This window comes from Homo sapiens, chromosome 6, assembly GCF_000001405.40.
Source record: "Homo sapiens chromosome 6, GRCh38.p14 Primary Assembly".
NCBI classification, from domain to species: Eukaryota; Metazoa; Chordata; class Mammalia; order Primates; family Hominidae; genus Homo; species Homo sapiens.
Window position 1 is genome coordinate 136,620,654 of NC_000006.12, and position 27,785 is coordinate 136,648,438.

At 40.0% G+C, this 27,785-nt stretch overlaps 1 protein-coding gene, 1 long non-coding RNA gene and 1 pseudogene across 11 annotated transcripts in view; 2 read left to right on the forward strand and 1 right to left on the reverse strand.

Annotated features, from left to right (window-relative positions):
* The window catches only part of MAP3K5 (mitogen-activated protein kinase kinase kinase 5), a 236,046-nt gene that overhangs the window by 63,608 nt on the left and 144,653 nt on the right, over nucleotides 1–27,785 (reverse strand). For 8 of the 10 annotated variants that reach the window (XM_017010875.2, XM_047418784.1, NM_001438058.1 and 5 more), the window contains 4 exons: nucleotides 21,867–21,916; nucleotides 18,890–18,985; nucleotides 16,672–16,753; nucleotides 2,195–2,328 (listed from right to left, as the gene is read on the reverse strand). In XM_017010875.2, the coding sequence (XP_016866364.1) occupies nucleotides 2,195–2,328; nucleotides 16,672–16,753; nucleotides 18,890–18,985; nucleotides 21,867–21,916 (362 nt within the window). Of the gene's footprint in view, nucleotides 1–2,194; nucleotides 2,329–14,162; nucleotides 16,123–16,671; nucleotides 16,754–18,889; nucleotides 18,986–21,866; nucleotides 21,917–27,785 lie in introns of those variants that run through there. The other 2 variants (XM_047418786.1, XM_047418787.1) reach the window with 2 other exon arrangements.
* MAP3K5-AS1 (MAP3K5 antisense RNA 1) lies at nucleotides 8,461–27,545 on the forward strand. Its single transcript, NR_125858.1, has 3 exons — nucleotides 8,461–8,623; nucleotides 16,278–16,449; nucleotides 27,119–27,545. It is a non-coding gene; the product is annotated as an MAP3K5 antisense RNA 1 (long non-coding RNA).
* Nucleotides 9,590–9,702, forward strand: RNA5SP219 (RNA, 5S ribosomal pseudogene 219; annotated as a pseudogene).

Consider the following 27,785-nt stretch of genomic DNA (forward strand, 5'->3'; position numbering starts at 1 on the left):
AAATATGGATAATAATAACCATCTATTAAATAATCCAATCTTCTCTCTTTCAGACTTTGAATACACAACACACACAACTGTGTATCATACACTACAACTGCGTTGCACTAATTACAGGAGCACTGCCTTACAGAGAGATGTAAGGGAAGCCCTAAGGCAGCAGAAATCATGAGGTTGAGAGAAGACAGAATTATTAGTTGGAGAAATAAACCATAAGGCAGAGCACAAGAGCAGTGAGCAACAGATAATCCTATCACCAGAGCGCTTCAGTTTCCTGAACATTTTTGTTCCTAAAAAAGATTCCACCTTTCACAAGGCCTCACTATGTGAGATTCAACTCATTTCTTCAAGCATAGGTTGGTGCAAAAGTAATTGCGGTTTTTGCCATTAATTACTTTTGATGGCAAAAATGTATATATTATACATTTTGTAGTTGTCACACAGTTCTTGGATATTGTCCCAGTTTTTTTTTTCAGTCTTTTTTCTCTTTGCTTTTTTAATTTTGAAAGTTTCTACTGATATATTCCGAAACTCAGAGATTCTTTAACTGTGCCCAGTCTACTAATAAGCCATCAAAGCCATTCTTCACTTCTATTACTGTTTTTGATCTCCAGCATTTTTAAAAATTATTCCTAGGATTTCCATCTCTGAGCTTACATTACCATCTGCTCCTGCACAATCTCTACCTTTCCATGAGAGCCCTAAGCATGTGAATACGATTCACAATCTGATAACTCTAATATCCCCGCCATATCTGGTTCAGGTTCTGACACTTGCTATGTTGCTTAAACTGTGTTTTTTGTCTTTCAGTATGCCTTATAGTTTTCTATAGAAAGGTGGACATGATATCCTAGGTGAAAGTGCTGCAGTAAATAGGCCTTTAGTGATGTGGTGGGAAGCAGTCAGGGAGGGGAAGAGTTCGACAGGTCTGTGATTAGGTCTCAGTCTTTTAGTGAGCCAGTGCCCCTGGGCTGTGAATTTTACAAGTGCTCCTTAGCTTTAGCCCCCTTAGGTGAGACAGGACAGCTAGAGTTGGGCTAAATTTGGTACTCCACTTCCCCTAGTTTGGTTAGGCTCCGGTAAAATAGAGTCTCTTGTGGACAGACCTTGTTAAGAACAGAATGCTTCAGCGTATTTAAAAATGGTGACTTTGCCGGGCATGGTGGCTCACGCCTGTAATCCCAGCACTTTGGGAGGCCGAGGCGGGCGGATCACGAGGTCAGGAGATCAAGACCGTCCTGGTTAACACGGTGAAACCGCGTCTCTATTAAAAATACAAAAAATTAGCCAGGCGTGGTGGCAGGCACCTGTAGTCCCAGCTACTCAGGAGGCCGAGGCAGGAGACTGGCATGGACCCAGGAGGTGGAGCTTGCAGTGAGCCGAGATCGTGCCACTGAACTCCAGCCTGGGTGACAGAGCAAGACTCCGTCTCAAAAAAAAAAAAAAAAGAAATAGTGACTTTTCCTTTCTTGCTGCCAGAAGCACAATGGGATTTCTCTTATTTCAAGTCTCTCTGAGGACCTGGTAAAGCTCCAAAACTCATGAAAGTGTGACCCTCATCCCCAGCCCTCAGTGACTGGGTCCCACTGGAGTTTTTAACTCAGACTTCACAGTGGGCCTCTAGAGATTTGTCAGTTACAGTTCAGTTTTCCTACCCCAGCACTGGTTCCCACAGAGGTGAGCAGATCATGGATTTCTGCTCAGTAAGTTATGAGTCTCTCAGTTTTCCAGTCTCTCCAATTTCAGGGGCAGCTGCCTCCCTTGCAACTTCACGGACGAATCCAAGAAGAGCCACTGATTTCAGTCTCTTCAGCTTTCTACTTGTTAAGATGGAATGACAACTTCCAAGCTCCTCACATGCCCGACTGGAACCTAGAACTGGTTCCAACCTAAACGATTTCTGATAGTGCTTATTCCTCATCTATTCACATAATACATCCACCTTTATCCAAGACAACCTGAGCCTAACACACACAGGGCCATTCTCTTTTCTAGTCTTTGAAAGCCCCGTTCTTCCCCACCAGTCTGGCACTTCAAACACTGAATGATGCAGCAGCGAAACCTCAGAAGGAGCTAATTCACAGAGTGAAGTTTTCACAGTTTCATTCATTAGAATATCATCAAGTATTTTCTAAAATACTGTCAACAACCCAAAGTACTACAGAACAGCTTTTAGTAGCTACAATTACTGTACCTGCTGTCTCTCTCTGGGATTTCCTTAATAGCAATTCTGACTTGGTTGCTCAAGTCCCGACCTGCGTAGACTATCCCATAAGTGCCTTTTCCTAAAACGACTCTGTCACCATTTTCATCATATTCATAGTCATACTACAAAAGGAAAAACGGGGAGAAAAGATCAAAACATTAGTTCATTCTACATTTCAAACATCAAATTTTTTTCCAAGAGCATTATTCCTTATCTTATCAGATGGCATTAACAGGCTGAAGTTCTAAGAAGCAGCTTCAAGGATGAACAAATAAATGCTCCCAACATAAAGCAGATACTGTGTTTATGTTTTCACAAACTGTTACAAATACAGTGGGGATTACATAGTTAACTTCATAGAATTGCTTCTCCAAAAGCCATGTGGATTCTTTTACCCACTCAGTCCTGTTTTTCATTGATTCTGGAGATCAGTGAAACAGTGTATAACTAGCATCAACATCTATCAATGTCTATCACATCTAATAAATCTTCCTTTTGTTATTCAGCTTTTGATGCTGTTAAAGCATTTCACACTGCCAGGAGAATAAAACCACCGAAAGGCTTTGGGTAAGAAGAAAATGTTGACATCTTACCAGGTGCCAATGATAAAGTCAGGATTATTTTACTTCACCACTCCCCACCGTTTCCCCAAGACCCAAAAACATTTTTTTAAGTGAAAAATAGAGGAAAATTTTGATCTCTGATGTAGAAAGGAAATATCTATAGTTCTAAACTCCAAACTGTCAAGTATGTCAGCCAAATATGGAAAACCGGATCTACAGAAAGGATTCAGTAGAGACCTCCTCAGATCTGGAGGCATCACCCCAAAGCCACATCCTTTGTGCTGGACTGGAACTAAATGATTTAGGGCCATCACATGATCAAGGCATGTCCCTGTAGAAACCCAGCATAAAACTACAGACCCCTGGGAGAGAACATTAGAACAAGCTTTTCATATAGTCTACATTTTGCTGGAGTTTAAAACTGGCAGTCCATAGTTAGATTCACCTCACAGCAGGGTCTGAGTTGGCCATTAAAAAAAATTATTTCTGGCCAGGTGTGGTGGCTCATGCCTGTTAATTCTAGCACTTTGGAAGGCTGAGGCAGGTGCATCACCTGAGGTCAGGAGTTTGAGACCAGCCTAGCCAACATGGCAAAACCCTGTCTCTACTGAAAATACAAAAATTAGCTGGGTATGGTGGTGCACGCCTGTAATCCCAATTACTCAAGAGGCTGAGGCAGGAGAATTGGTTGAACCTGGGAGACGGAGGTTGCAGTGAGCTGAGATGGCGACACTGCACTCCAGCCTGGGCAACAGAGCAAGACTCCATCTCAAAGAAAAAAAAATGATTTATAACATGTATAAGTCAACAAACTTAACGTTAATACTGATGAGTAATCTATGAAGAGGGCAATGATCATGAGTTTTTATGCTCTTTAACAACATAGCCTTGAAATATAAAAGCAGAGTTGATAAAATTTCAAAGAAAAATACACAAATATCAACCACAATAGATTTTAACAGAACTCTTTTAGAAAGGAATATATCTGGCACACAGATTTTAAAATAGAGAATCTAATGGCACAATGAACAAGTTTGATATAACATCTACAGAGAGAGCTCTGTATCCAGATACAGATTCCTTTCATGCATACATGAAAAATATATTATAACTGATTACATATTAGACAACAAAGAAAAATTTCAACAAATTCCAAAGAACTGATATCATAAAGACCATGATCTCTGAGCACAGAATACTAAAAATAAGACAGCCAAAAGTATATTTTACTTTCCTTTAAAATAACCAATGGGTTAAAAAGGAAATGACCATGGGAATTACACAGTAATTTTTTAAATGAGAAGAAAAACATTATTTATCAAATTCCATAGATATGGAGTTAGGTAGATGAAAAATTTCATGATCTTAAAAAAATCCATTAGAAAATAAAAATTTAACATGAATAAGTTTAATGGTCAAGTCAAGGAAACAGAAAAAGAATAACATATTGCTACCAAGACAGTAGAAGAGAGGCTCTGGATTTGGCAAGATGGTAGACCAGATACCTGAGAACCTTCCTGCTAAAAACACATAGGTAAAATAAAACAGACATACTTTTAAATGTCTAGCTGGGCTTACTAAAGAGTAAAGGTGACTGCAGAAGCTAGAAATGAAGAGGAAAGGAATACTAGCAGGTAATCACAAGAACTCCTGCAGCCCAAAGGGTGGGGATGAAGGCAAGATTTTCAGTTTCATTAATCTAGGGCGGGAATTTGTCTGCTTTTTTTTTGGTAAAAGGTCAGATAGTGAATGTTTTAGCTTTGAGGGCCATCTAGTCTTTGTAGCAACTACTCAATTCTGCCATTGTGATGTGAAAGCAGCCCAGCTGATATATAAACAAATGGGCATGCTTATGTTCCAATAAGGCTTTATTTACCAAGATTAAGAGTGAGCTGGATTTGATCCTGGGGCTATAGTTTGCTGACCTCTCATGTGGGGCTTGGGTCTTAATGCCCAGGAGGGGATAGGAAGTATGGCCTAGTGCCTACGCCAGGCAAAGAGCAGAAACACACAAAACCAGGCCCTTGGTGAAAGGGTAGATCAGAAAAGTCAGCCCACTACACTGTGAAACAAAAAGAAAGCTGGTTTGTCTCAAGACTGAGCTCTGGAGGAGCAAAAATAGGTCTTCTCTAAACACTTTCAACCACAGCTGATCCTGGTGCTGTTTGAACTTCAAATTAACACTTATTATAATACTCATAATTGCTCTTGAGCCTGGGATATCCCTGGAGTGCCTGGCAGAAACAAAGCAAAAACATTTTCATGGCAGACCCCTTGAAGTTTGCTATGCAGAATTCTTACTGATAATGCACCACTAAAGTTGAACTCACAATCCAAAAAATATAAACTATGTAAGGAAACAATTCAACATCAGTGAAAACATATATGACAAATCTCAATCCTCAAGACTTCATTAAGTCAGAAATGATAGAATATAGTTATAAAATATGTACATTTAACATAAAGATATAAAATATTTAAAAATGAGAAGATAAGATATTCTAAAAAAGGCCAGACTTGAAAGAGAATTGAATACAACTTCCAGAAATTCAGCCCTAAATAGGAAAAATAAAAACAAACTCACTGAGATATGACATAGGGAAACTACAAAATACGAAAGACAAAAAGATCATAAAAGGGCAAATTACCTACAAAGGTAGCTCATCAGATCGCTCTGCAAACTCTTGGGTACACACGCATGACTCGAGAGGATGGGGCTGGGGTGGAGCATGTCCCTACCAGCTCCAGGTTATTTGTTTCCAACAGGTTTTCAGGCCCTTATAGAAGGCAGTCGGGTGGTGTCTTCTGGGGAAAATTATGCCTAATACAATGCTAGGGCTGGAGTGAGCACTGGCCTCCTTAGCATGAATTCTTCTCTGGCTCAGGACAGAGGCCAAGCTCTGGAAGGGAGATGACTACTTACCCATTGCCAAGTATCCAGTGGCACATTAGAGAATAGCCCTGTTCTGGCTGCCTAACATAAAGCTGAAGACTGTCTTGGTCCAGGGTAGATGATCAGAGTGACCAGGTGATAGGTGATCAGAGGGAAGGAACAGGCAGCAGGGATCATTTAGCAACATGCTCTAACTCAGAGTTAAAACTGGGCTCCTGCGAGGAGACAGGAAGCATAATCCAAACAACGCCACCTGAAGGAGCCCAAGTCTCCACACCCAATTCCTGTAGTCTAGACTTCTGCAATGCTGTGCCTGCCACGCTGGAATTCCACCAGTGGGACCCAGCCAGCAGCAGGTAAAGAAGCTCAACTTTGCCGATGTGCCCTCTCAAAGGATTAGAAACCTATACACTCCATCTAGTACCACCACCATTTTACACTACAATGCTTTATAATCTTAAAGGAAAAAAAAAACCAACTTTCAATAACCCACCTCACTTATCATCATAAGCATGTGTAATAGGTTTCTGATTACTTTCAATTTACAAATGATCAGAAATTTTTTTTTCCAGTGAAAATATATCAGAGTTGTGGTTTGAAACCAGCTTGTGAGATTCCAGATTTTGTATCCTTTCCACTACCTATGCATTAGGGAAACCCTATCATAGAATAAGAGCTTACAGGGTGATTATTAGTTGTTTCCAAATACCAGTGTTATAAAGATATTACAGTATATTGTTAATATCCATGGAACATCCATTTGCTTTTTTTTAGCAGACATCTGGTAGCCACTGTCCTCTTAGAATTTTGTTTTTTTCCTTCTTTTACTATGTATTTCAAATTTATTGCCAACTGTTCTCAGATTTTTCTTCTTAAAATCTCACAAATCCATTTTACCTCCTTATTCTCACCGGAGTTGCCTCAGAATCTCTGTAGAAGTAGCACAGAAGAAAAGCACTTCTCTGCAAAAAAAAAGTTCAGAGGCTTTTCTCCTCTCTTGTTGCTCCATTCCCCAATTTATTCTCCACTAAATTGACAGTGAACTTTCCAAAGTCCAAAGTTCCACATGAACTTTCCATGTCAGTGCCACTGCATCTATTTTATTGGCAGCTTGTTACTTTCCGGATGAAATCCAAACTCCTTAGCACAGCATAAATGCCTGCTATGGTCTGAATGTTTGCGTACCCCCCTCTTCAGCGCCCTCAAAATCTGTATGTTGAAACCGAATCACAATGTATTAAGAGTTAGGCCCTTTAGAAGGTGATTAGGTCATGAGGCTAGAGCTCTCATGAATGGGATTAGTCCCCTTATGAAAGAGGCTTGAAGGAGCCTGGTTGAGCCTTCAGCCATGTGAGCACCCACAGAAGGTACCATCTAGAGGAAGTAGGCCCTCACCAGACACTGAATCTGCTGGTGCCTTGATCTTGGATTTCTCAGCCTCTGGAACTGTGAGCAAAGCATTTCTATTGGGTATAAATTACCCAGCCTAAGGCATTTTGTTATAGCGGCCTGGATGGACCAAGACAATGCCCTTCAAGATCTTACGGCTACCTCTGTCATCCTCGTCTGGACACTTGAGCTCTTCGAGACTTGGGACTTCATCCTTAATTACTCTATCCCCAGTTTTAGCATGTAGCTTGTAGTAGATGCTCAGTAATTATTTGCTTAACTAATTAATCAAGTTATAGAAAAATGTGATGAGAACTTTTTTAGAAAAGAACTAGATCCCAAAACAAAACATTTAGAGTCATTATTGGTTTATTCTTGGGTGAAAGCATTTTTCCAATAGATATATTTAAATCTTTTTTTTTTTTTAAAGAGTGTTTTGCTCTGTCGCCTAGGCCGGAGTGCAGTGGTGCCATCATAGCTCATTGCAGCCTTGAACTCCTAGGTTCAAGCAATCCTCCCACTTCAGCCTCCTCAACAGCTGGGACTTCAGGTGTACAGCACTATGTCCAGCTAATTTTTTCTATTTTTTGTAGAGATGGGGTCTTGCTATGTTGCCCAGGCTGGCCTTGAACTCCTGGCCTCAACTGATCCTGCTGCCTCGGCCTCCCAACCACTGGGAGTACAGGTGGGAGCCATCATACTCAGCAGTTTTTTTTTTTAAAGAGATGGAGTCCTGCTATGTTACCCAGGCTGGACTCAAAGTCCTGGGCTCAAGTGATCCTCCCAAATAGCTGGGACTCAGGTGCACACCACCAGGTCCAGCTCTACAACAGGTATGCTTATATAGAAGAGTGAAGAATACATAAACCTTGATGAGGCTGCTAAAGTTTTAATTTCCCCTAGGAATCTAAGGCATCAGAAGACTATTTTTTAAAAGATTACGTATTAGATACAGATTTAAAAGATTATGTATTAGATATAGAAGATTAGATATAGAAGCTGACTCCTGTTAAACAAAATGGTGATAGTAAAATGAAAAGGAATTGTAAAAAGAGCAGTGTTATTTAAGTAAAACCATCTCTGTGGGTAATTGCTGCTTTGTTTTTCTATCTCCCCTTTCTATTCTTACGAGATAAAGATAGAAATTGAAATGGCAGTTTTGAAAGAAAGCTGAAAAGAAACAAGAGACTGGTTCAGCCTAGAAGGACAGAGAATCATCTATGTAATGTCCAGGAATAGTAGAAGAGAGGGTTTTAAAAAATAAAAGGTAACATTACATTGCTTATATATTTTGCATTCTATTTCTATGGTAATAGGTTAGCAAATCAGGTTGTTGCTAAGGGAAACAAGAATTTCATTCTGAGGCAATCATGAGAATTTTTCTAGAATCATCTCTTTATTGCTGTCTGCTCAGAACAATCAAAACTGGTAGCGGGAAGAGAATCAGTGTAGGAAGGCAACATTGACAAGGCCAAACAACGAAGTGGTGACTCACTGAGTCCTTGCACTCTCGAAGGAAACAACCACCTTAGAAAAAACCATGCACTTTCGGCGGGGGCTTAATCACATTAGGTGAGTAATCACCTCAAAGACCCAAATGGCAGCTCTGTTAATGTTCAGTCTGTATGGCCTTCTTTATATGTAAATGCCAAAACATTAATAACTACTAATAACATTAATAGAATGCCAAAAACACTGCAGGTACAAATATCTAGTGTGATGGATCTCTCCTCCCTTAGATCTTTACTCACATCTCACCTTTTTTTTTGAGAAGGAGTCACGCTCTGTCGCCCAGGCTGGAGTGCAGTGGCACAATCTCAGCTCGCTGCAAGCTCCGCCTCCCAGGTTCACGCCATTCTCCTGCCTCAGCCTCCCGAGCAGCTGGGACTACAGGTGCCCGCCACCACACCCAGCTAATTTTTTGTATTTTTAGTAGAGATGGGCTTTCACCTTGTTAGCCAGGATGGTCTCAATCTCCTGACCTCATGATCCACCCGCCTTGGTCTCCCAAAGTGCTGAGATTACAGGTGTGAGCCATGGCGCCCGGCCATATCTCACCTTCATTTATTTATTTATTTATTTATTTATTTATTTATTTATTTATTTAGAGTCTCACTCTGTCGCCCAGGCTGGAGTGCCTAGGTTCAAGCGATTCTCCTGCTTTAGCCTCCCGAGTAGCTGGGATTACAGGCGCTTGCCACCATGCCCGGCTAATTTTTGTATTTTCAGTAGAGATGGGGTTTCGCCATTTTAGCCAGGTTGGTCTCAAACTCCTGACCTCAAACAATCCAACTCCTCTGCCTCCCAAAGTGCTGGGATTACAGGCATGAGCCACCACACCCGGCCTAAATCTTACCTTCTTAATGAGCTTCCCAGGCCTTCCTATCTAAAATTGCACGTCCCTGCTACACTGTAACTTCCTAAACCCTTCCCTGGTTTATTATTCTCCTTAACCCTGATCACCATCTAACATACTATAGATGGTATTTTACTTATTTGTGTTTATTGTCCGTCTCTCATTAGAAAGTAACCTGAGTCTACAGCTATACCACCCTGAATGCGTCCAATCTCTTCTGATCTCGGAAGCTAAGCAGAGTTGGGCCCGATTAAGACTTAGATGAGAGCATGTAAGCTCTCAGTGATAGCAGGAATTTCTCTCCATTTTGTTCTCTGCCATCTCTCCAGCACATGGAATGGTGCCTACCATTCAATAGCTGTCCAAAAATATGTGAGTGCATTAGTGAGATCCATTTGGACCCACTGATGTGGATGAAGATGATTTTAGGCTGAAAACATCAGAAAAACAGCAGCAGCAGAAAAAAACCTTATCTAAATTTCTTTTGCGGACATAAGCAATGCCTCCTAAAATACATCTGCCATTTATTTCCTCTCCAGGAGGTTAATGACCAAAGAGGAGATAGACCACTTGCACCTAGAGGAGATGTTGCATAAACAAAACCTTATCAAAACTTTCTGTTCCTCACACTTATTTCTCATTAGTCTCCCACCATACACTTTCTTAAAGTCTTAACCCTCTTTCTTACTAAGATGATATATAAACACTCAACTCTAGCTGTTTAGGGAGCCAATTCTTTGTGTAAGTCTCTTTCATTGACTTAGCATTGACTACATGAATAAATTTTGGCTAGGCATGGTGGCTCACATCTGTAATCTCTGCATTTTGGGAGGCCAAGGCAGCAGCTTAGGCAACATGGTGAAACCCTGTCTCTATAAAAAGCACAAAAATTAGTCAGGCATGGTGGTGCACACCTTAGTCCCAGCTACTCAGAAGGCTGAGGTGGGAGGATCGCTTGAGCCCAAGAGATAGAGGCTGCAATGAGCCGAGATCACACCACTGCACTCCAGCCTGGGGGACAGAGGGAGATTCTGTTTCAAAAATAAAACAAAACAAAAGAATAAAGTTTGTCTGCTCTCCTGTCAACTTGTCTTTTGTCAGTTAATTTGCAGGCCCCTGACCATTGAACATAAGCTGGTACAAGAAAAAGGCTTTTCCCCGTTCCCAACAGAATGAATGAATGAATAACAAATTGATACTCATATCATACAACACTATAAGTGATGTATTTTCTCAGGCAGGGAAGTAACTGTGGGTATTCAGCTTCATATCTGCACAAAAATAGAAATAGGATGTTAAAAAAGAGTTTGCTACATGATGATTCCAAACTGACTAAAATAAATTCTGAACCATAATTACTAAGGTATATGAGGCCAATCATCAGAAAAGAAAACAGTAAGGTCTTCCATCTTCCTGCAGATATTTGAGTCAAATGAAAATAATGTCACTTTTTTTTTTCTTTTTTTTTTTTAGACAGGGTCTGGCTCTGTCACCAAGGCTGGAGTGCAGTGGCGCAATCCTAGCTCACTGCAGCCTTGACCTCTCGGGCTCAAGCAGAGAGGTCCATATGGATTGGAGGCCTTCTCCCATCCATATCTCTCTCCTCCCAGTTTGAGATATTAGGTTGGTGCAAAAGTAATTGTGGTTTTTGCCATTATTGCTACAACCTAATATTAAAACAACTCTGATTTTGTCACTGCCCAGCTTCAAACCCTTCAGATTGAATCTCTTTTACTTGGACACCTGGCACCATGTGAGCTCATGTGATTAAAAAGGGCAAAAAGCCACCATCCTGCCATGGGACATTAACAGTCCAGTCCAGTGCAGGCTACCAGATTACAATGCATGGAGAAGAGCTAGGCCAGAGGAGTGGGCCAAAATGCTAAGAGAACAGAGAAAAGCAAGAAGGGGAGTTGAGAAATGATTCAAAGAGAAAAGGACACAGGACCTGGATCTGAAAAATTAAGGCTTTGGTCACTAAGTGGGACTGAGGAGAAAAGTTTGTGAGGTTGGGCGTCTGCATGTCAAGCCCAGAGGCCGGAGAAGCATGGCCACCTGGAAAGTGGAAAGGAGGCTGGCACCGCTGGACCACAGAGTGGAAAGGAAAGGGGAAGCTACAGCCAGAGGGGGTGAGAATGTTGTATGGTGCAAATACTTCCTTCTACAAAAAGGAGCATCAGCTGGGCATGGTGGCTCGTGTCCGTAATCCCAGCATTTTGGGAGGCCAAGGCAGGCAGATCACTTGAGGTCAGGAATTCAAAGCCAGCCTGGCCAACATGGTGAAACTCCATACTAAAAATATAAAAATTAGCTGGGCATGGTGGTGCATGCCTGTAGTCCCAGCTACTTAGGAGGCTGAGGCAGGAGAATTGCTTGAACCTAGGAGGCGGAGGTTGCAGTGAGCCGAGATTGCGCCACTGCTCTCCCACCTGGGTGACAGAGTGAGACTCTGTATCAAAAAACAAAAAGGAGCATCAAAGGTTTTTAATCTGGGGAGTCGCAGGATTAAATCTGTATGAGAGATTTCTCTGATGATAACAGAGACAAAGCATGAGACATGTTAGGCTATGATAGAGGATGAAGACCTGAGATCAGGGGAGTGACCAAGAAGATGAAATGAAGGGGCTGCAGGAAAGAACGGGCATGAGGGATTAAGACGGGTTTGGGAGGGGTTTCTCAGGAATCTGGCTTGGGTTGCTGGATGCCTTTACTTTTAATGAAGACATGGAAGGCAGGAAGAAGAACAATGGAGACCAAGGCTGGTTAACTCTGATCAATTGTTTGATGATTTCAATATAAAAGTATTATAATAATAACATATTAAAATACTTGAGATATGAGTTCATTACCCTTCCACGTCAAAATACATCCTTGAGTCAAAAAACATAGCCTTGAATCAAAAGAAATTGATTTTCTTTCTGTTAAAAGACAGAAAATCCTTCTCTGAGAAGTGGTATTGCATTATATTTGAAATAACCTTGTACAATTTATACCAATCTTGAATATTATTTTAAAAATTAGAGGTAGGAAAAGACATTAAAGATCCTCTTGCTCTTGGCCAGGCGCAGTGGCTCACGCCTATAATCCCAGCACTTTGGGAGGCCGAGGTGGGTAGATCACCTGAGGTCAGATGTTCAAGACCAGCCTGGCCAACATGGTGAAACCCTGTCTCTACTGAAAATACAAAAATTAGCTGGGCATGATGGTGGGCGTCTGTAATCCCAGCTACTCAAGAGGCTGCGGTGGGAGCACTGCTTGAACCCGGGGGTGGAGGTTGCAGTAAGCCAAGATCATGCCACTGCACTCCAGCCTGGGTGACAGAGCAAGACTCTGTCTGAAAAAAAATAAAATAAAATAAATATATGTATATATATATATATATTCTTTTCAACTCTAACTTAAGGAATGAAGTCATCTTAGCCCAGCGGGAGTATGAACTTTGTCTGGGGTTATGAAACTGACTGTTGGCAAAGTCAGAACCAGGGCCCAAGGCTCCTGACCCCAGCCTGGAGTTCTTAGTAGATCCAGCTTGAATCAGAAGGAAGAAGGGGCTGGTGACCTGAAAGAAGCCAAATCCCACCCACAGTTGTACTGCTTCAAATAAACCTTATTGTTCCAATCAAAAAGAAAAGGAGTTATTGCCTTGGGCTTCTAAGAAGTCTTTCAAATTCTAGGAATTAGTTTCACATTTGTAGTTTATAGAATCACATTAATAGTTACTGTTTTGCTGACTGCTGACAACACCCTAAGTGAAGTTAAAAACATTAAGTAGCATTTCCTGGCCTTTCCAACATTTTTATTTTGTTCTGGGCCAAGGTAGCCAAAGGCTTCAGGAATAATTGACGCATGTATTGAAACAATGTTAATTCTACCTTCAATTGAGGTAAACATCAGAAAATAATTATTCTGCATACAAATCTTAATCACTGTGTTCAGATGATCTCTAAAGTCATTCTTTTTGTTTCCACTGTAAAGAATGGGAAGTGGAGGAATTATTTTTAGCTTGTTATTCATGGGCTGAAGTTTGAGTTCAATTTGTGGTAATGAAATTAAAGAATTCATTTTAATCAAATATGCAGGATGCTGATAAAATAACTTTAATAAAGAATGTTGAAAACATCTAAGAAATGTAACCAAATATATAATGGAGAGTTATAAGTTATGCAAAAATGTAAGTTAAGGCTTAATAATTCATATTGGAAAGATGCCCTGGCTACAAAAGGACATTCAGGGAGAGGGACAACCACGATGGATTTCACCATCCTCCAGTCCAGAGCATCCCTGTAAACATGCATTCATTCACGTTTTGCTAAAAGAACACCCACAAAAAACATCAGCAATATCACTAGCTGGCACAATGGCAAACTAAGCCAAGACTCTTGAAGCCGGTCTGCTTGAATTCTTCCTACAGGCTCTAAAGTCCATTGGGAATACTGTAGAAGCCATTCTCTGTCAGAAATTTTACATTATTCTAATGAAATGCAAAGGATAGAAATGTAAGAATGTTTTTCTTATGTTTTTCTTTTCTTTTTTTTTTGAGACCAAGTCTCACTCTGCAGCTCAGGCTGGAGTGCAGTGGTGCGATCTCGGCTCACTGCAACCTCCAACTCCCAGGTTCAAGCAATTCTCTTGCCTCAGCCTCCTGAGTAGCTGGGACTACAGGTGCACGCCACCATGCTCAGCTAAAGTAGAGACAGGGTTTCACCATGTTGGCCAGGCTGGTTTCGAACTCCTGGCCTCAAGTGATCCACTCACCTCAGCATCCCAATGTGCTGGGATTACAGGCATGAGCCACCACACCTGACTTCAGAATAATTTCTTTTCTTCTCTTTTTTTTTTTTGAGACGGAGTTTTGCTCTTGTCACCCAGGCTGGAGTGCAGTGGCACAATCTTGGCTCACTGAAACCTCTGCCTCCCGAGTTCAAGTGATTCTCCTGCCTCAGCCTCCTGAGTAGCTGAGATGATAGGCACCTGCCACCACAGCCTGGCTAGGCTATGCATATTTTTGGTAAGATGCAGTTAGTTCCTGAAAGGAGGGCATGAAACAAAGGATAGCTATCTCTGGTTTAAAAAAAAAAAAAAAAAGCCAGAAATTTGTAACATTGAAGAATACTTCATGAATTTTCCAGTCATCCCCTTCATAATTCTATATGATTGATAGAATTGTTTCATTTTCAATTTCTTTAAGTTTTACCTTGGCAAGTTGCTATGTATCAAGTGATGCAAAATTTAACACAGAAACAAAGATAACAAGGTATAATCAAACGAGCCCTGAAGTAGGAGTCAAGAAAGCTAATTCCTAACAATCACTTGAATAAGAAATAAAAAATTGTAAAATATAAAACATACATAAATAAGAAGTAGTATCTATTACTTCTATAGACAGCAAGCTAATGCACAGGAAATCTTTTTTTCCAAATTAGGCCTGTCATCTTTTTACATCTTTAATGAAAGAGGCTTAGGCTTAACTACAAATATCAAAGCTATACAATTGCTAGATAATCATAGAACTTAACTACGGGCAGAGTTAACAACTAGCTATTATAGGCCAGGCATGGTGCTTATCCCTATAATCCCAGCACTTTGGGAGGCCGAAGAGGGAGAACTGCTTGAGCCCAGGAGTTCAAGACCAACCTGGGCAACAAAGTGAGATCCCGTCTCCACCAAAAAAAAAAAAAAAAAAAAAAAAAAGTTAGCCAGGTGTGGTGGCATGCTCTGGCTGAAGTGGGAGGATTGCTTGAGCCCAGGAGGTCAAGAGGCTACAATGAGCTGTGATTGTGCCACTGCACTCCACCTCCAGCCCGGGTAACACAGCAAGAGCCGGTCTCAAAAAACAAACAATTTATTATATTAAATTTTTTTCTCAACTGTTACCTTACTAATTCAGTGTTTCTATAAAAATTTTAGTTTATGAGATGACATTATCAAAGTGATCTAATAAATAAGTATGCCAATTAGACTGGTGAGCTATAGATTCTTCATTTTCACTTTAACATTAAAAATATAATTTTCAGTATGGCTTGGTGCTATGGACTGAATATTTGTATCCTCCCCAAATTCCTATGTTGAAATCATACCCCAAGGTGCAGTTATTAGGAGGTGAGGCCTTTGGGAGGTGATTAGGTCTTGAAGGCAGAGCAGGGTAACATTAGTGGCCTTGTAAGAGAGACCACAGAGAGCTAGCCAGCTTCTTCTACCATGTAAGGACACAGCAACAGGGCACCTTCTATGAGGAACAGGCCCTCACCAGACACTGAATCTACCAGCACCCTGATCTTGGACTTCCCAGCCTCCAGAAGTATAAGAAAATAAATGTCTACTGTTTACAAGCCACATTGTTTACAGTATTTTGTTACAGCAGCCCAATGGACTAAGTCACTTGGATTCAGAGTTCTCTCCCAAGTCAAACACTGGGAAGGGCTTGGAGAAAATGGTGGCCATGTGTCAAGCCTGGAGAAGTGTCATTCTTCAGACATTGAAGATGCTGGAGTCAGCATTGTTGACACACTCCAGCATTGGTCCTTGCAGTGGAGGAAGGCTCTTCTTCACACAGCAGACATGGCAGAGAAAATGGACACAAACTAAAAGTAGGTGTCCAGCAGTCGGGTGCGGTGGCTCACGCCTGTAATTCTAGTGCTTTGGGAGGCCGAGGTGGGAGGATTGCTTGAGCCCAGGAATTCAAGACCAGTCTGGGCAACATAACGAGAACAAGTCTCTATAAAAATAAAAATAAAAACCATATAAAAGTAGGTATCCATAGTGCTCTGTGTCCATTAGACATTAATAAAAGGATTCCAGTTGAGAGGAACAACATTTGAAGTCATTGTTATTCCCTCCTCTCTTAATTCCATTAATCTTCCATGGTTTCAGGTTCTCTGTGTAGCATATTAATGCCTGCCACAAGGGTGCTATCAACCAGAATCTTCAGTGAATCTTCTTTGTCTGAATTGCACATATCTCAGAGGAGAATAGAGAATGTGTAAGGACACCGTGGCCCATGCATTGACACTGTCATAGATAAAGCATAGTTACTCGCTATCAGGTAAGTAAAATGCTAACGCTTGGTGCTGTGGAATAAGAATTCTCCAATGTTTACTTTTTAGCCCCTTTTTACCAAAGGAATTCTGGAAGTTGCTTTTAACACTAAAGGAAAGCCTACAGACAGTCTCCTACCCCTCATACACCCTGCCTCCTGCCTCAGTAAGGCTTCAAATAGTTTGTTTTAAAATGAGCTCTAAATGTAAATGGACACCTAAGTCATTACCTCCAGCAAGTCACTTTCACAGTCTCCTTCCTCTGTGCTTCTCCCCTTCTCTTCGGTAATGGTGTTCACCATCTCAAAAAACCTACAATACAAGTTAGCACGTGAGCATTCATAACACAAACAATAGTAAATATAAGCAAGTACATCTCAAAGTGACTTCAGAACCAAAACTGAGAGCTAAGAGAGTCTCCAGAACCAGGCAATAACACACTATCAAGATCATGTGAAAAATACAATTTTTCAAAAAGAAAATGCAGGTTGGTAGGATTTTCTAGAAATTTCTAACCTAATGCCTCACTTCAAATACATTTTTCTTCAGGAACTCTTCTTGTAAAGTTTTTTTTTTTTCTTCTAGAGACCATTTCAGAGACAAGCAAAGTGATTACAGTGAGAAACAGATTGGCATCCTGCTCGCTGTGACTAGGCCATTCAGAGAGGAGGCTGATGGTTCACAGACATAAAGCCGGGAAGCACTGTGAACGTGGGCTGATGATCCCACAGGCAGGTCATGCTATGCGATGCCAGCTTAAGGGAAGAGCAGGTTATGGTGTGATAAGAAAAGTTCCCCTAACACAACTCAGAACCTTTCTTACCCACCCATCCATCCATTCATTCAACAAATACTCACTGAGTGTCTACTAGGATAAAGAACTGTTCTGGCCATTGAGAGCATGATGATGAACAAAGTCTATCTTGGAATTTGGACCCCATTGATGGAGTTCATATGTGGTATCAACTTCCTCACTCTTCCTGTCTCTACACACATTTCTTGGAGGTCCATGACAAGAAAAAAAATTCCCAAGCCTGATTGGAATAACAGTTTGCGCTATTAAATAGCACAATGAATGAGAGAGAAAAGCTAGTTTAACCAAGAGGAAGAATAAAGTGAAAGATCAAAAAAAAATCTGGTGTTACAGACATGATTTAAGATCTGGGTTAAGGATTTGCATCAGCCACTCATGCAAAAATTTTCAATATGAACATCTCTAGGCAGAATATAACACTCGACAGTGGGATGGGAGCACTAGCGTAATTTTTAGAAGCTTCCATTCTGAAGTCTCCTGTGCCTGGTTCAAACCCCAGATTTTTATGCTTATTGACTACATGATTTTAGGCTATACTCTCCAAGACTACTTTTTTAATTCTTTTCAATAAAGATATTAATACTACCCATCTAATAGGGTTTCTTTGAAGACTGAAACAAATATTAGTTCTGGGGCACACACTTCATAAATTTTAGCTATAATTATCATAGAAACAGGTCAACAGACTTGAGAATTTAAGTGTAAGTAGAGAATTAGTCCATACAAGAGCTAGGAATTTTCTTATTTCCAAGTGTTTTTTTTTCCCCCACCATATGTTTTATGATAATAAAGCTTGAGCCAAGAATTGTGGATTCAACAAACACTTTTCTTTTTCACACCAAGATAAAAATGAACGACTGTATATTGTAGCTAGCATATCAGTCATTTATAATGGATTCAAATAGTAATTATTTAAATAAGAACAATCCCCAGCAAAATTCTGAGTCCAAACTAACTTTCACCTACACTTTGGCTTCTAAATTATCACTCACTTCTCTAGTTTCCCACAGTCAATCATAGTGTTCTAAAGAAGTAAGAAGAATTTAATTATTAGCCCAAGAGAAACATACAATGGAGAAAAACACAAACATACAATGCAGTCCATGGATTTTTGGATGATCTCTTTTATTGGTATAGATCAGATCAGTGGCTCTTAACTCAGGCTTCACCCCCACCAGAACGTCCAATATAATTAGTCTGAGGTGGGGGCCATGCATGTTTTTTTAAAGCCTACCAGGTGGATCTAACTAATATGAGCCAAGGTAAAGAGGTACTATTGTAGATAATACTGAGACGATTTAAAAGAATTTGAGAATGAAAATTCTGGTAATCATATACAGTAAGTGAGCACTTAAAATATGAGTTATAATATTTAACAATTAACCAATAAGTCTTAGTTAATGTTTTATCTGTGGGAAAATAAGTTATGACTAAGATAAAGTTTGACTTATTAAAGAAAACCCCCCCCCAAAATCTGTTAAATTTATGATATAATTATAAAATATTAGCCCAAATAAAATATTTATATAACCACATAGCCATGCATTCTTCACAGGAGGTACATGTTCACTCATTACTTGAAAATAATGATCAGGTAAGAAGAATCTTTTTCACACACAATGACTAATACGTACTTTTTACAATGAAGTTCTGTACAGAAATAGATTTGGAAATCATCAGAATTGTGAAGCACATAAAGAAAGCAGCATCTTTCTTCAAATTTAGAAATACTGAAACCAACAAACAAAAAGGCATTATTCAGAGAACTATCAATTCTTCTACAGTCCTATGATGAAAAAGAAATGTTTTAAATTCAATCCCATTTATATCAATGTTGTTTATAACAAGAAGTTATAAATAGCACTTTAAAAAGTGATACTTCCTGCACCACACTACTAAAATGATTTACTCTTCCGAGAGGTGTCCTCCTCCTCATCTCTGCAGAGCAGGGCTGCTCTAGGGTGTTGCAAGCACACGTAAACTACACATCCTTTCAACAGAGCAGGGAAAGGTGTCCTGCCTACTACACTATTCTGTGTGCTGGGAGGAAAAGCATAAATACCAACTGGCTGGCTAACCTCGGTGATTCTGGTGCTATGCAATCTGTAGAACAATGAAATGTTTCCAAAGCTAGGCAGTCAATTTGTGGAGGCAGTAAAAGCACCTCATTCATTATAGAGATTTTAGAGGAGTGAAGCAATGTGCAAGTGCACTCGGTTAGGACTCAGTGAGTGGCTGACTTTACGGCAATATGAAACAGTTTTCAGTTGACCCACTAGGCCATGCTGTTTTATGCCAGGGATTGGCAACCATTTTCTGTAACAGGCCAGATAGTAAAATACTTTAGGTTTTTCAGGCCACACTATGTAATTCTGCTGCTGAAGCATGACAGCTGCCTAAGAGGATGCATAAATGAATGAACATGGCTGTGTTCCAATAAAACTTTATTTACAGGACAGGTGAAGGACCAGATGTAGTCCAGGGGGCACAGTTTGTCAATCCTTATTTTGTGCCTTTGTGCCTGCTGGTCCTTCCATTTGGAATGCATGTCGTTTTTTACTTTTAAAAGAAACTCTATTCACGATTTAAGGCCCAGCTTAGACCTCACCTTCTCTCCCTGCCCTACTTCTGCCCTAAACAGAAAGACTTCCTCTTACACCTGTGTCCTCTGAGTATACTTCTTTCATTGCTCTTCTCACACTGTATTGTCATGAGTTGTTAAATGTCTGTTCCTCTCCCTGCTGGGCTGTGAATTCCTCAAGAGAGGAGTTGATGTCTTAGTCATTTTTGTATCTTTGGCAGAACAGGACTCAACATTTGACACACAGCTCATGCTCAGTTAATGCCCACTAACTCGAGCTGTGCAAGTTCTGAGGTGACGCAAGGCAAGCTGCTGACCTAGTTGGATTTTCTTCCATAGTTTGTCATCTCTTCTTTGTGGAGGAGGAGGCCAGGAAGAATGAGCTCTCTTTGAAGTCACAGACTACAACTCAAGTTTCTCAGCATATAAGCCAGCAATAGTAAGATAGATAGTAGCAGCCTATGTATAAGTCATAAATCACAACAACTGTTACATAGGGCTACCATACCTAATTAAAGAAAATTTATTCATTGGAAAACAGATATGATAAAGTGAAATTTACATTTACCATACTTTCTTAAGTGGATTGCTTAAAAATGCAGCAATAAATAGTGAGTGCCTTGCTAATGACTGGCTTTAAAAATTAAATATTAAGAGTACAGTTTTATTTGAGAAAGTATCGACTGAAAGATATATAATGAGTCAGTCCATCATCTTGCTTGTTTCTGTTCAGATCATTCATGAGGTAACAGGTAGCTTTACCAGGAGAACTCCAATTATTAGTGACTCAGACCGCTCTACCAATTTATGCTCTAATAAAACCAATTATTATTATTCCAAAAGCAACAGGATATTGCATAACCAGGCTGCAAAAATCTGTTGTCTCTCATTGCTATGACGTGGGGGTAAACAGTAGTTAGCACATCTAATTTGGTTTGAAATCTGCAAGAGTTGATTTAGCATGAGCTTCAATAGAACAATTATTTAAAGACTTAACCACTGACTCTTGATTCTTAAAAAAATATATATATATTATTTCTAAATCCCAAGAAATGGCATTTTCTAAGCTACTGGCATTGTGACAGCAGTCAGAACTGAACCAAACTGAAGTTCACCACTGTAATCTCAAGATCAATGCAGGAAAGTGACCTTACAGAAGGTTTTTTTTTTTTTTAATGGACTCCTTATCATCTGAAGTCATTAGTGTTAGTGACAGGGGCCGGGCGGAGTGGCTCACACCTGTAATCCCAGCATTTTGGAAGCCCTACACGGGCGGATCACTGAGGTCAGGAGTTTCAGACCAGCCCGGCCAACACGGTGAAACCCTGTCTCTACTAAAATTACAAAAATTAGCTGGGCATGGTGACATGCGCCCGTAATCCCAGCTACTTGGGAGGCTGAGGCAGGAGAACATTTTGGACCTGGGAGGCGGAGGTTGCAGTGAACTGAGATCATGCCACTGCACTCCAGCCTGGGCGAAAACAGCAAAACTCTGTCTCACAAAATAAAATAAAATAAAATAAAATAAATAAAATAAAATAAAAATAAAATAAAATAAAATAAAATAAAATAAAATAAAATAAAATAAAATAAAATAAAATAAAATTAGTGGCAGGACACAGTGTAGTAGACGGCATGTGTGCTTTGTATCCACACAAAGGGAGCTGAGTTCCTTGTATACCAAAAGGACAGAAATCATCCTATTACATAAACCAACAGCTCAGCTAAAGAGGACCTCCACATGGCTGAGTGTAATCTACATTTTGATTCTGGTCCATAGTTCACATTGACCCCACAGTTACATTTTAAGTAGGTCAGGAGCACAGAATCAGTTCAACCAGCAGTGAACATTTTGTTGCAAATCTCTTCCTAAAGGAGATAGTGACACTGAAGAAGGCTGGGCATTTCCACCAATTGAATGATTCTTGACATTCCTTGTATTTTAAAATCATGATTAGAAGTTCTATCCAGCCCATGAATAGTGGAGAAAAATGTCTTATAAGTTAACAAAATGTACCAAGGAAACTTACCTCACTCCCCTGACAGAAGAGGCACTAAAATTCCACTCATGTATACCTTTCTAGAACAACAACAAGAAAATATACTGAGTCATCCAAATGGAAAATAACATAACAACAATAATTTTGTTTAATTATTTTTAAAGTGATATACACAGCCATTTTTCCTGGTACACTATTTTTCATGAAAGAATTATCTGGATGGAAAGCACAATTCATTCTCAAGTCCCAAGGGTAATGATTACTCTACTTAATAATTCCTGTACTTCAATAAAACAGCTTCCAAAAGAGCCTAGGAGAATTAGTCTCATTAAATTCTAAAACTTGATATCTAGTAATAACTGTTGTGTGTTAATTTTTAAGTAAAAAAAGTCAATGATCAAGGTAATTCTATTATTACAGTTGAGAAATACTTCTTTTCCGAGAAAGATAAACATTAATTTGAATAACATCTCGGCAAGGTTTTAAAGATAACTATTTCTGAATTATCTTTAGTTAAGATTTCCAACTAAATAGGCGGTTCTATTTCTTTAGAAACTAGTAGAACAAGAATGTATGTGAACACACATGTGTACAGTGCCCATCATAACTACAAGGTATTGCTACCTAATTTATGCAAAATTCCATATGCTAATAAAGTATGAACATCAAAAATTTGATTGTCATACTATAAACATGGGTGATTTGCAGAGCCAAGGTAAAGAAAAATGTGGGAATTTATTTCTTGAGTTTATCACTAAAGCTAAGATAAAATTATTATCAAATTCATATGTCCCTAAAATAAATAACAAAATGGATCATAATCCCTTTAAAAATATGTCAACAGTATAAAATAGCATAAATATTTTTACAGAAACAAAGTAGTTTATCCATGTGTCTAAGTTGAGCAAGTACAGTACGGCAATAAACTGACACTGACATTCAATTCTGTAAAGTTAAAACAACCATGAAAAGGAGTTCTTACCCACCCACTGCCAGGAGGCTGAGGTCTTGCCTGGGCTAATAAAATGGGTGACAAAGCCTTGTGGCTCTGAGGTGGCCTAGAACCCTCCTTTTGGCTAAAGCAACTCAAAAGCGACAATTTATATCTACAGCCCATAATTCTTTGCTAGGTCCATGCAACTTAAAGTAAAAATAGATCCTCTCAAGTCAGATGTGAATTTACTAAAAAGCTAGTTTCAGTGCATGTCAGTCAGGTCATGGGGATGTGATCTGAATGAACGCAGAGCAAATTTTGTTGCATGAAGTCCAGGAGGGAAGATACCATAAAAAGGTATGTGGTGGCTGTCTTAACCAGAGTACAGAGGGAGTGAAATTAAAATAGCAGACTGCAGCCTCAGCTGGTAATTTGGAAAGTTGCTTCTAAATCCTGTTGGCCTCAGGTGAACTTCTAAATATATATATATATATATGACCCAGGAGCTGCAGCTGTTACCTGTACACTACTTGCATACAATGCAGCCTTATCCTCAGAGCCTGCAGCTGAGCTGCTTTCCAAGACCATGTCCAGGAGCAGGAGGTGGGAGGCAAGTGCAGAGCTGAGGCAGTATGCAAACCCACCCCTGAACACAGCAACTGGCAAATACTAACAAGACAGCACTGGTAAAACCCATCTTCTATCAGTCCTTTTCTGGGAACAGCTAAGTAAAAATTGTGGACTGGTTTTGTAGGAAAGGAGGGGAGCATTTCCAGAATGCTTGGTTCCTGAAAGGTTGCCAGTGCTGCCAGGGAACGTTCCATTTCAGTGATGTAAATAAAGCCCAAGCCCTGAGATGGAAGGTGGAAGGAGGCCTCCCTCCCCACCTACCTGTAGGACACACCACAAGGAGGCGCTGATGAGCTGTAAAGCCAACAGGTAGTTTAAAGGCTCCTGGGATCTGTCTGGGAATCAGGGAAAACAGCAAGGCCAAACGCAGCGCTAGCTATAATTAGCCCCAACAGGCCTCAAACCAACACTCAACCTAATTTAATCAGCACAAGCACCATTTTCTAGGAACGGGTTAGCCTCAGATCCCAGGCCCCAGTTAGGGCTAGAATAGGAGCTGGAAGTTAATACTGTATTGACTGAAGGTGGCAGGAGTTATACTGTAGTAGGCACTGTCAGCTCCCTCAGCAACTGTCATTCCATCCTTCTCCTCTGCTGACAAAAAAATAAATTTTGCCCAGGTTCAGGTGGCAATGTTTATGAATGGTGAAACTGATTAGTCTAAATTGGCCACGGTAAGTCCATTTGCCTTGCTGGGGATGGGTGTAAGCATGGTCATGTGATACAACTTATGGTATAAAGGAGAGGGCTTGGCCCTCCTCCCCGGGATGCCGCCTGTGTGAGGTGCTTCTTGGAATAGCTAGCTACTTAAGAACATGAGACTAACACCAAGAGTACGCAGAGAAGCCAGAATTCAGAATCCTGATGCTGAAACTACCCTCAGAATCACCCCACCTCAAAATTTATTTTTTTCCATCCAGGCTGGAGTGTAGTGGGGTAATCATAGCTCACTACAGCCTGGATCTCCTAGGCTCAAGCAATCCTCCCGCCTCAGCCTCCCAAGCAGCTGGGACTACAGGCACATATCACCAAACCTGGTTAATTTTTTTAAATTTTTTTGTAGAGACGGGGGTCTTGCTACATTGCTCAGGCTGGTCTTGAACTCCTGGCCTCAAGCAATCCTCCTGCTCTGGCCTCCCAAATTGCTGGGATTACAGGTGTGAGTCACCATGCTCGGCCTGTAATTTCTTGTAATATGAAATACCATTTCTTTATTTAAGCTGCTTTTGGCAGGGAGTTTGTAGCAGAAAGCATCCTTGGTGGATGACAGCATCAAATCATCTTAATCTAGAATCAGGGGTAAGCATGTTTCCCTCATAAATTTCCTGGGCCTTCTGTGAGTGGCCACTGGCTGGAGCTGAAGTGAGGGAGGAGAGTCAGCACTTAGTCCTCCACTAGGCCCCTGCCTTTGCTTGATAATCCGTGAGGTAGGCCAAGGGTGCCCAAACTTCAACCCCCAAAAGGGGGGGAAATTCTAAATAACCATTTAAAACGCCCTGCAAATAACTTCTCTCTTCCTCAATCTTAAGTTTTTCTTTCATTGTACACATGCAGACTTTCTTCAAGGACTAACTTACTTTTCAGCAGCAACCATTCATTCAACAAATAGAGAACTGTTAAAAGATCGGGATTTCAATTAATTTTACCCCTGAATGTAGAGTAGCTCTCTCTAAGAGTCCTTGGGAATTGGTATATAATGTGCTTCAAGTTTTGAAAGTTGCAGTATAAAGTATATACTAGCTCACAGAGCTATTTATTCCATATGTTAGAATAAAAATAGTGAGAGGAGTGACTAAAGAAATAAACATGATAAATGAAAAGCTACATTCTCTATTCTAATTTTAGGAAAAATTTTTAAACATTCTGTGATAAAAACAACCCATTTTTAGTTTAACATAAGACCTATTAAACTGGTTGCTTCTCTGTTATTTATAGTTGTTTTAAAGTAACATGGTAATAATAAAGTTTTTTTGTTTTTATTGCTTGTCCTCCTTCCAATTTTACCACTTTTATTTTAAAAAATTGAGAAAATGGTAGTGATAATGAATACACTATGGATAGAATCAGGGTTTGCAAAGAAATTGACATAAATTCAGAATGGAAACTGATACAAGAAAGCTTCAATTTTTGAACAAGGAGAATTTTTTAGCACTAAAAGTTATAGGAAATAAGGACAACATAAATAAAATTCCTCCTGATCAAAAGATGGTGAAAATGGAAAATGGACAGTACATAACTTAAATTTGTAACCCTATTTAATGCACTTGTTTATATCCTAATATATATCCTAATATTTCTTAGCATAATATAAAAATTGTCTCTATGATTGTCACAAAACATAAGAGAATGAAAACGAGGCTCACTTTACTGAGCAAAGAACCTCCAGGAAGGAGAAAACAATAACAAATTGCTGGAAATAGTACTCATTTTCCAAAAATCTCTGGCTTACTTTCTGTTCTTTTTCTGTCTTCCAAATTCTTCTGGCTCTCTACTCATTCTCTAGGCCTTGCTAATCGCTAATTCCTCTAGCCTCACTCTGTTTCCAAGTGTCCTTGGATAACCTTGCTCTTTTCAATCAAGCCTTTGAAAATCTCCTCCTCCAGTCCTGCTCTCGTCTCCATAATGTTCATGTCTCCTAACTGTTCTTAGTTTTTGTAGTTTCCACTGGATGATTAGTGTATCTCAGCTTGTGAGAACATGTATGTGTATACTTGCATACATGCAAAACAATATAAATATTGCACTGCACTTTAAAGCAATATCACTAACATGTATATAGACAGTTATATTGATTATTCCCAATTTTGCCACTGGATGATTCCACTTGGAGTCTTGCCATTAGTTTCAACTAAACACGTCCAAAATGAAATTCCTCATGATTCCTCTACAACTCAGGTTTTCCTTCTAAAAATCCTACCACCTTTATCAATGCAATCAAAACTTGAGTCACCTTACACTTACTCCCTCTTTTTAATCCTTCTTCCTAATTTGTGATTAAGTTGTATACTTTTCTTTCCAAATCAAATCATCTGTCCCTTTGCAGTCACAATTGTATTATTCCACTCTAGGATCTCTACCTGCCTCATATCTAGCTAGTTCCTCTAACAGTCTTCTCTGTGACCCTCCAGAGCCTCAGACTTCAGAAATCAAATGTCAAGACCAGATCAGTCTTATAGCTACACTAGCAACCATTATGGAGCACTTGTTCCAAGCCACTTAGCACTGTGCTAAATGATTTCCATTCATCCTCTCACTTAATCTTCACAACAATTCTATGAGGTACTGTTATTCTCATTTTACATACATGGCAACTAAAGCATGAGGAGTTGAAGCGCATGCCTAGGCCACGAAGCATGCAAGAGCTAACATCAACCTTCACACCTATGCACTTTGATGCTGACCCTGGGTTCATAATTCACATTCTGTTCTGCCTTCCTGCCAGCTCTCAGATTTTCAGAAACGTCAGTGACATCCTGTTTCCTACCGACACATGTTTAAAATTCTTCTTCCTAGCTTACATAGCACTCTAGAGTTTTATGTCATCCTGCCCAACCAATCATATCTCCCACCTCCCTCAACACGTTTCCCCTTGTAGAATGAGTCAGACTCTGCCGGCCCCTGAACGTCCCATGCTTGCTTTCACTTTGGTGCCTTGGTTGGAATTCTGCCTTATTCTTCTAATCTAGTTTGTCTTCCCGTGTTCATTTATCTCTTCTAGTTCTACCCACAGCCAAAGTCCAGGTTCCACCTCCTTTAGCAAGCCTTCTCGAAGGACTCCATGCCTCACTGATCTTCCTCCTCACTGAACGCCACAGACCAAGAACCCATAATGTCCTCCTCAGGAACCAGCACAGTCCCAAAGTCCACAGAACTCAAAAGAACGCTGGTAGATTGATTTGCTCTACCATCATCTCAACAGTGCTTTCCTCGGGTGTAGCATGATGCATTTTAACACAATTAAAATGACATGTTAGAAATGTTGCTGATGGGGTTGCTGGGGCAATGACTTCTTTCAAAGTCTTCCCTCTATTTACTGCACTCATGGAAGTGAGTCTCATGGGAAGCTATGTCTTAGCTGAAAGCCTGTCTTCAAAGTCCTTTGGCAAGGAAGTTTTCTGTTATGAATAAATTAGTATCACAAGTAACTTTTTCAAGTGTTTTTCCATACAATTGACACTTCTAATAATGAAAAAGAATCAAGCTTCTGACTCTGCACACAGTGGCAAATATTGGCATGTGTAATCTGGGGCCTGTTGGGTGAAGATCCTTAAGTTACCACAACCTATTGGTAGAGTGTCTCTAAATTTTGGATGTAGCCAGTCCCAAACTGACTTGTAAAAGTGTCAGCTTGGACAGTGTTTCACAAACTGGGATTGGAGAAAGAC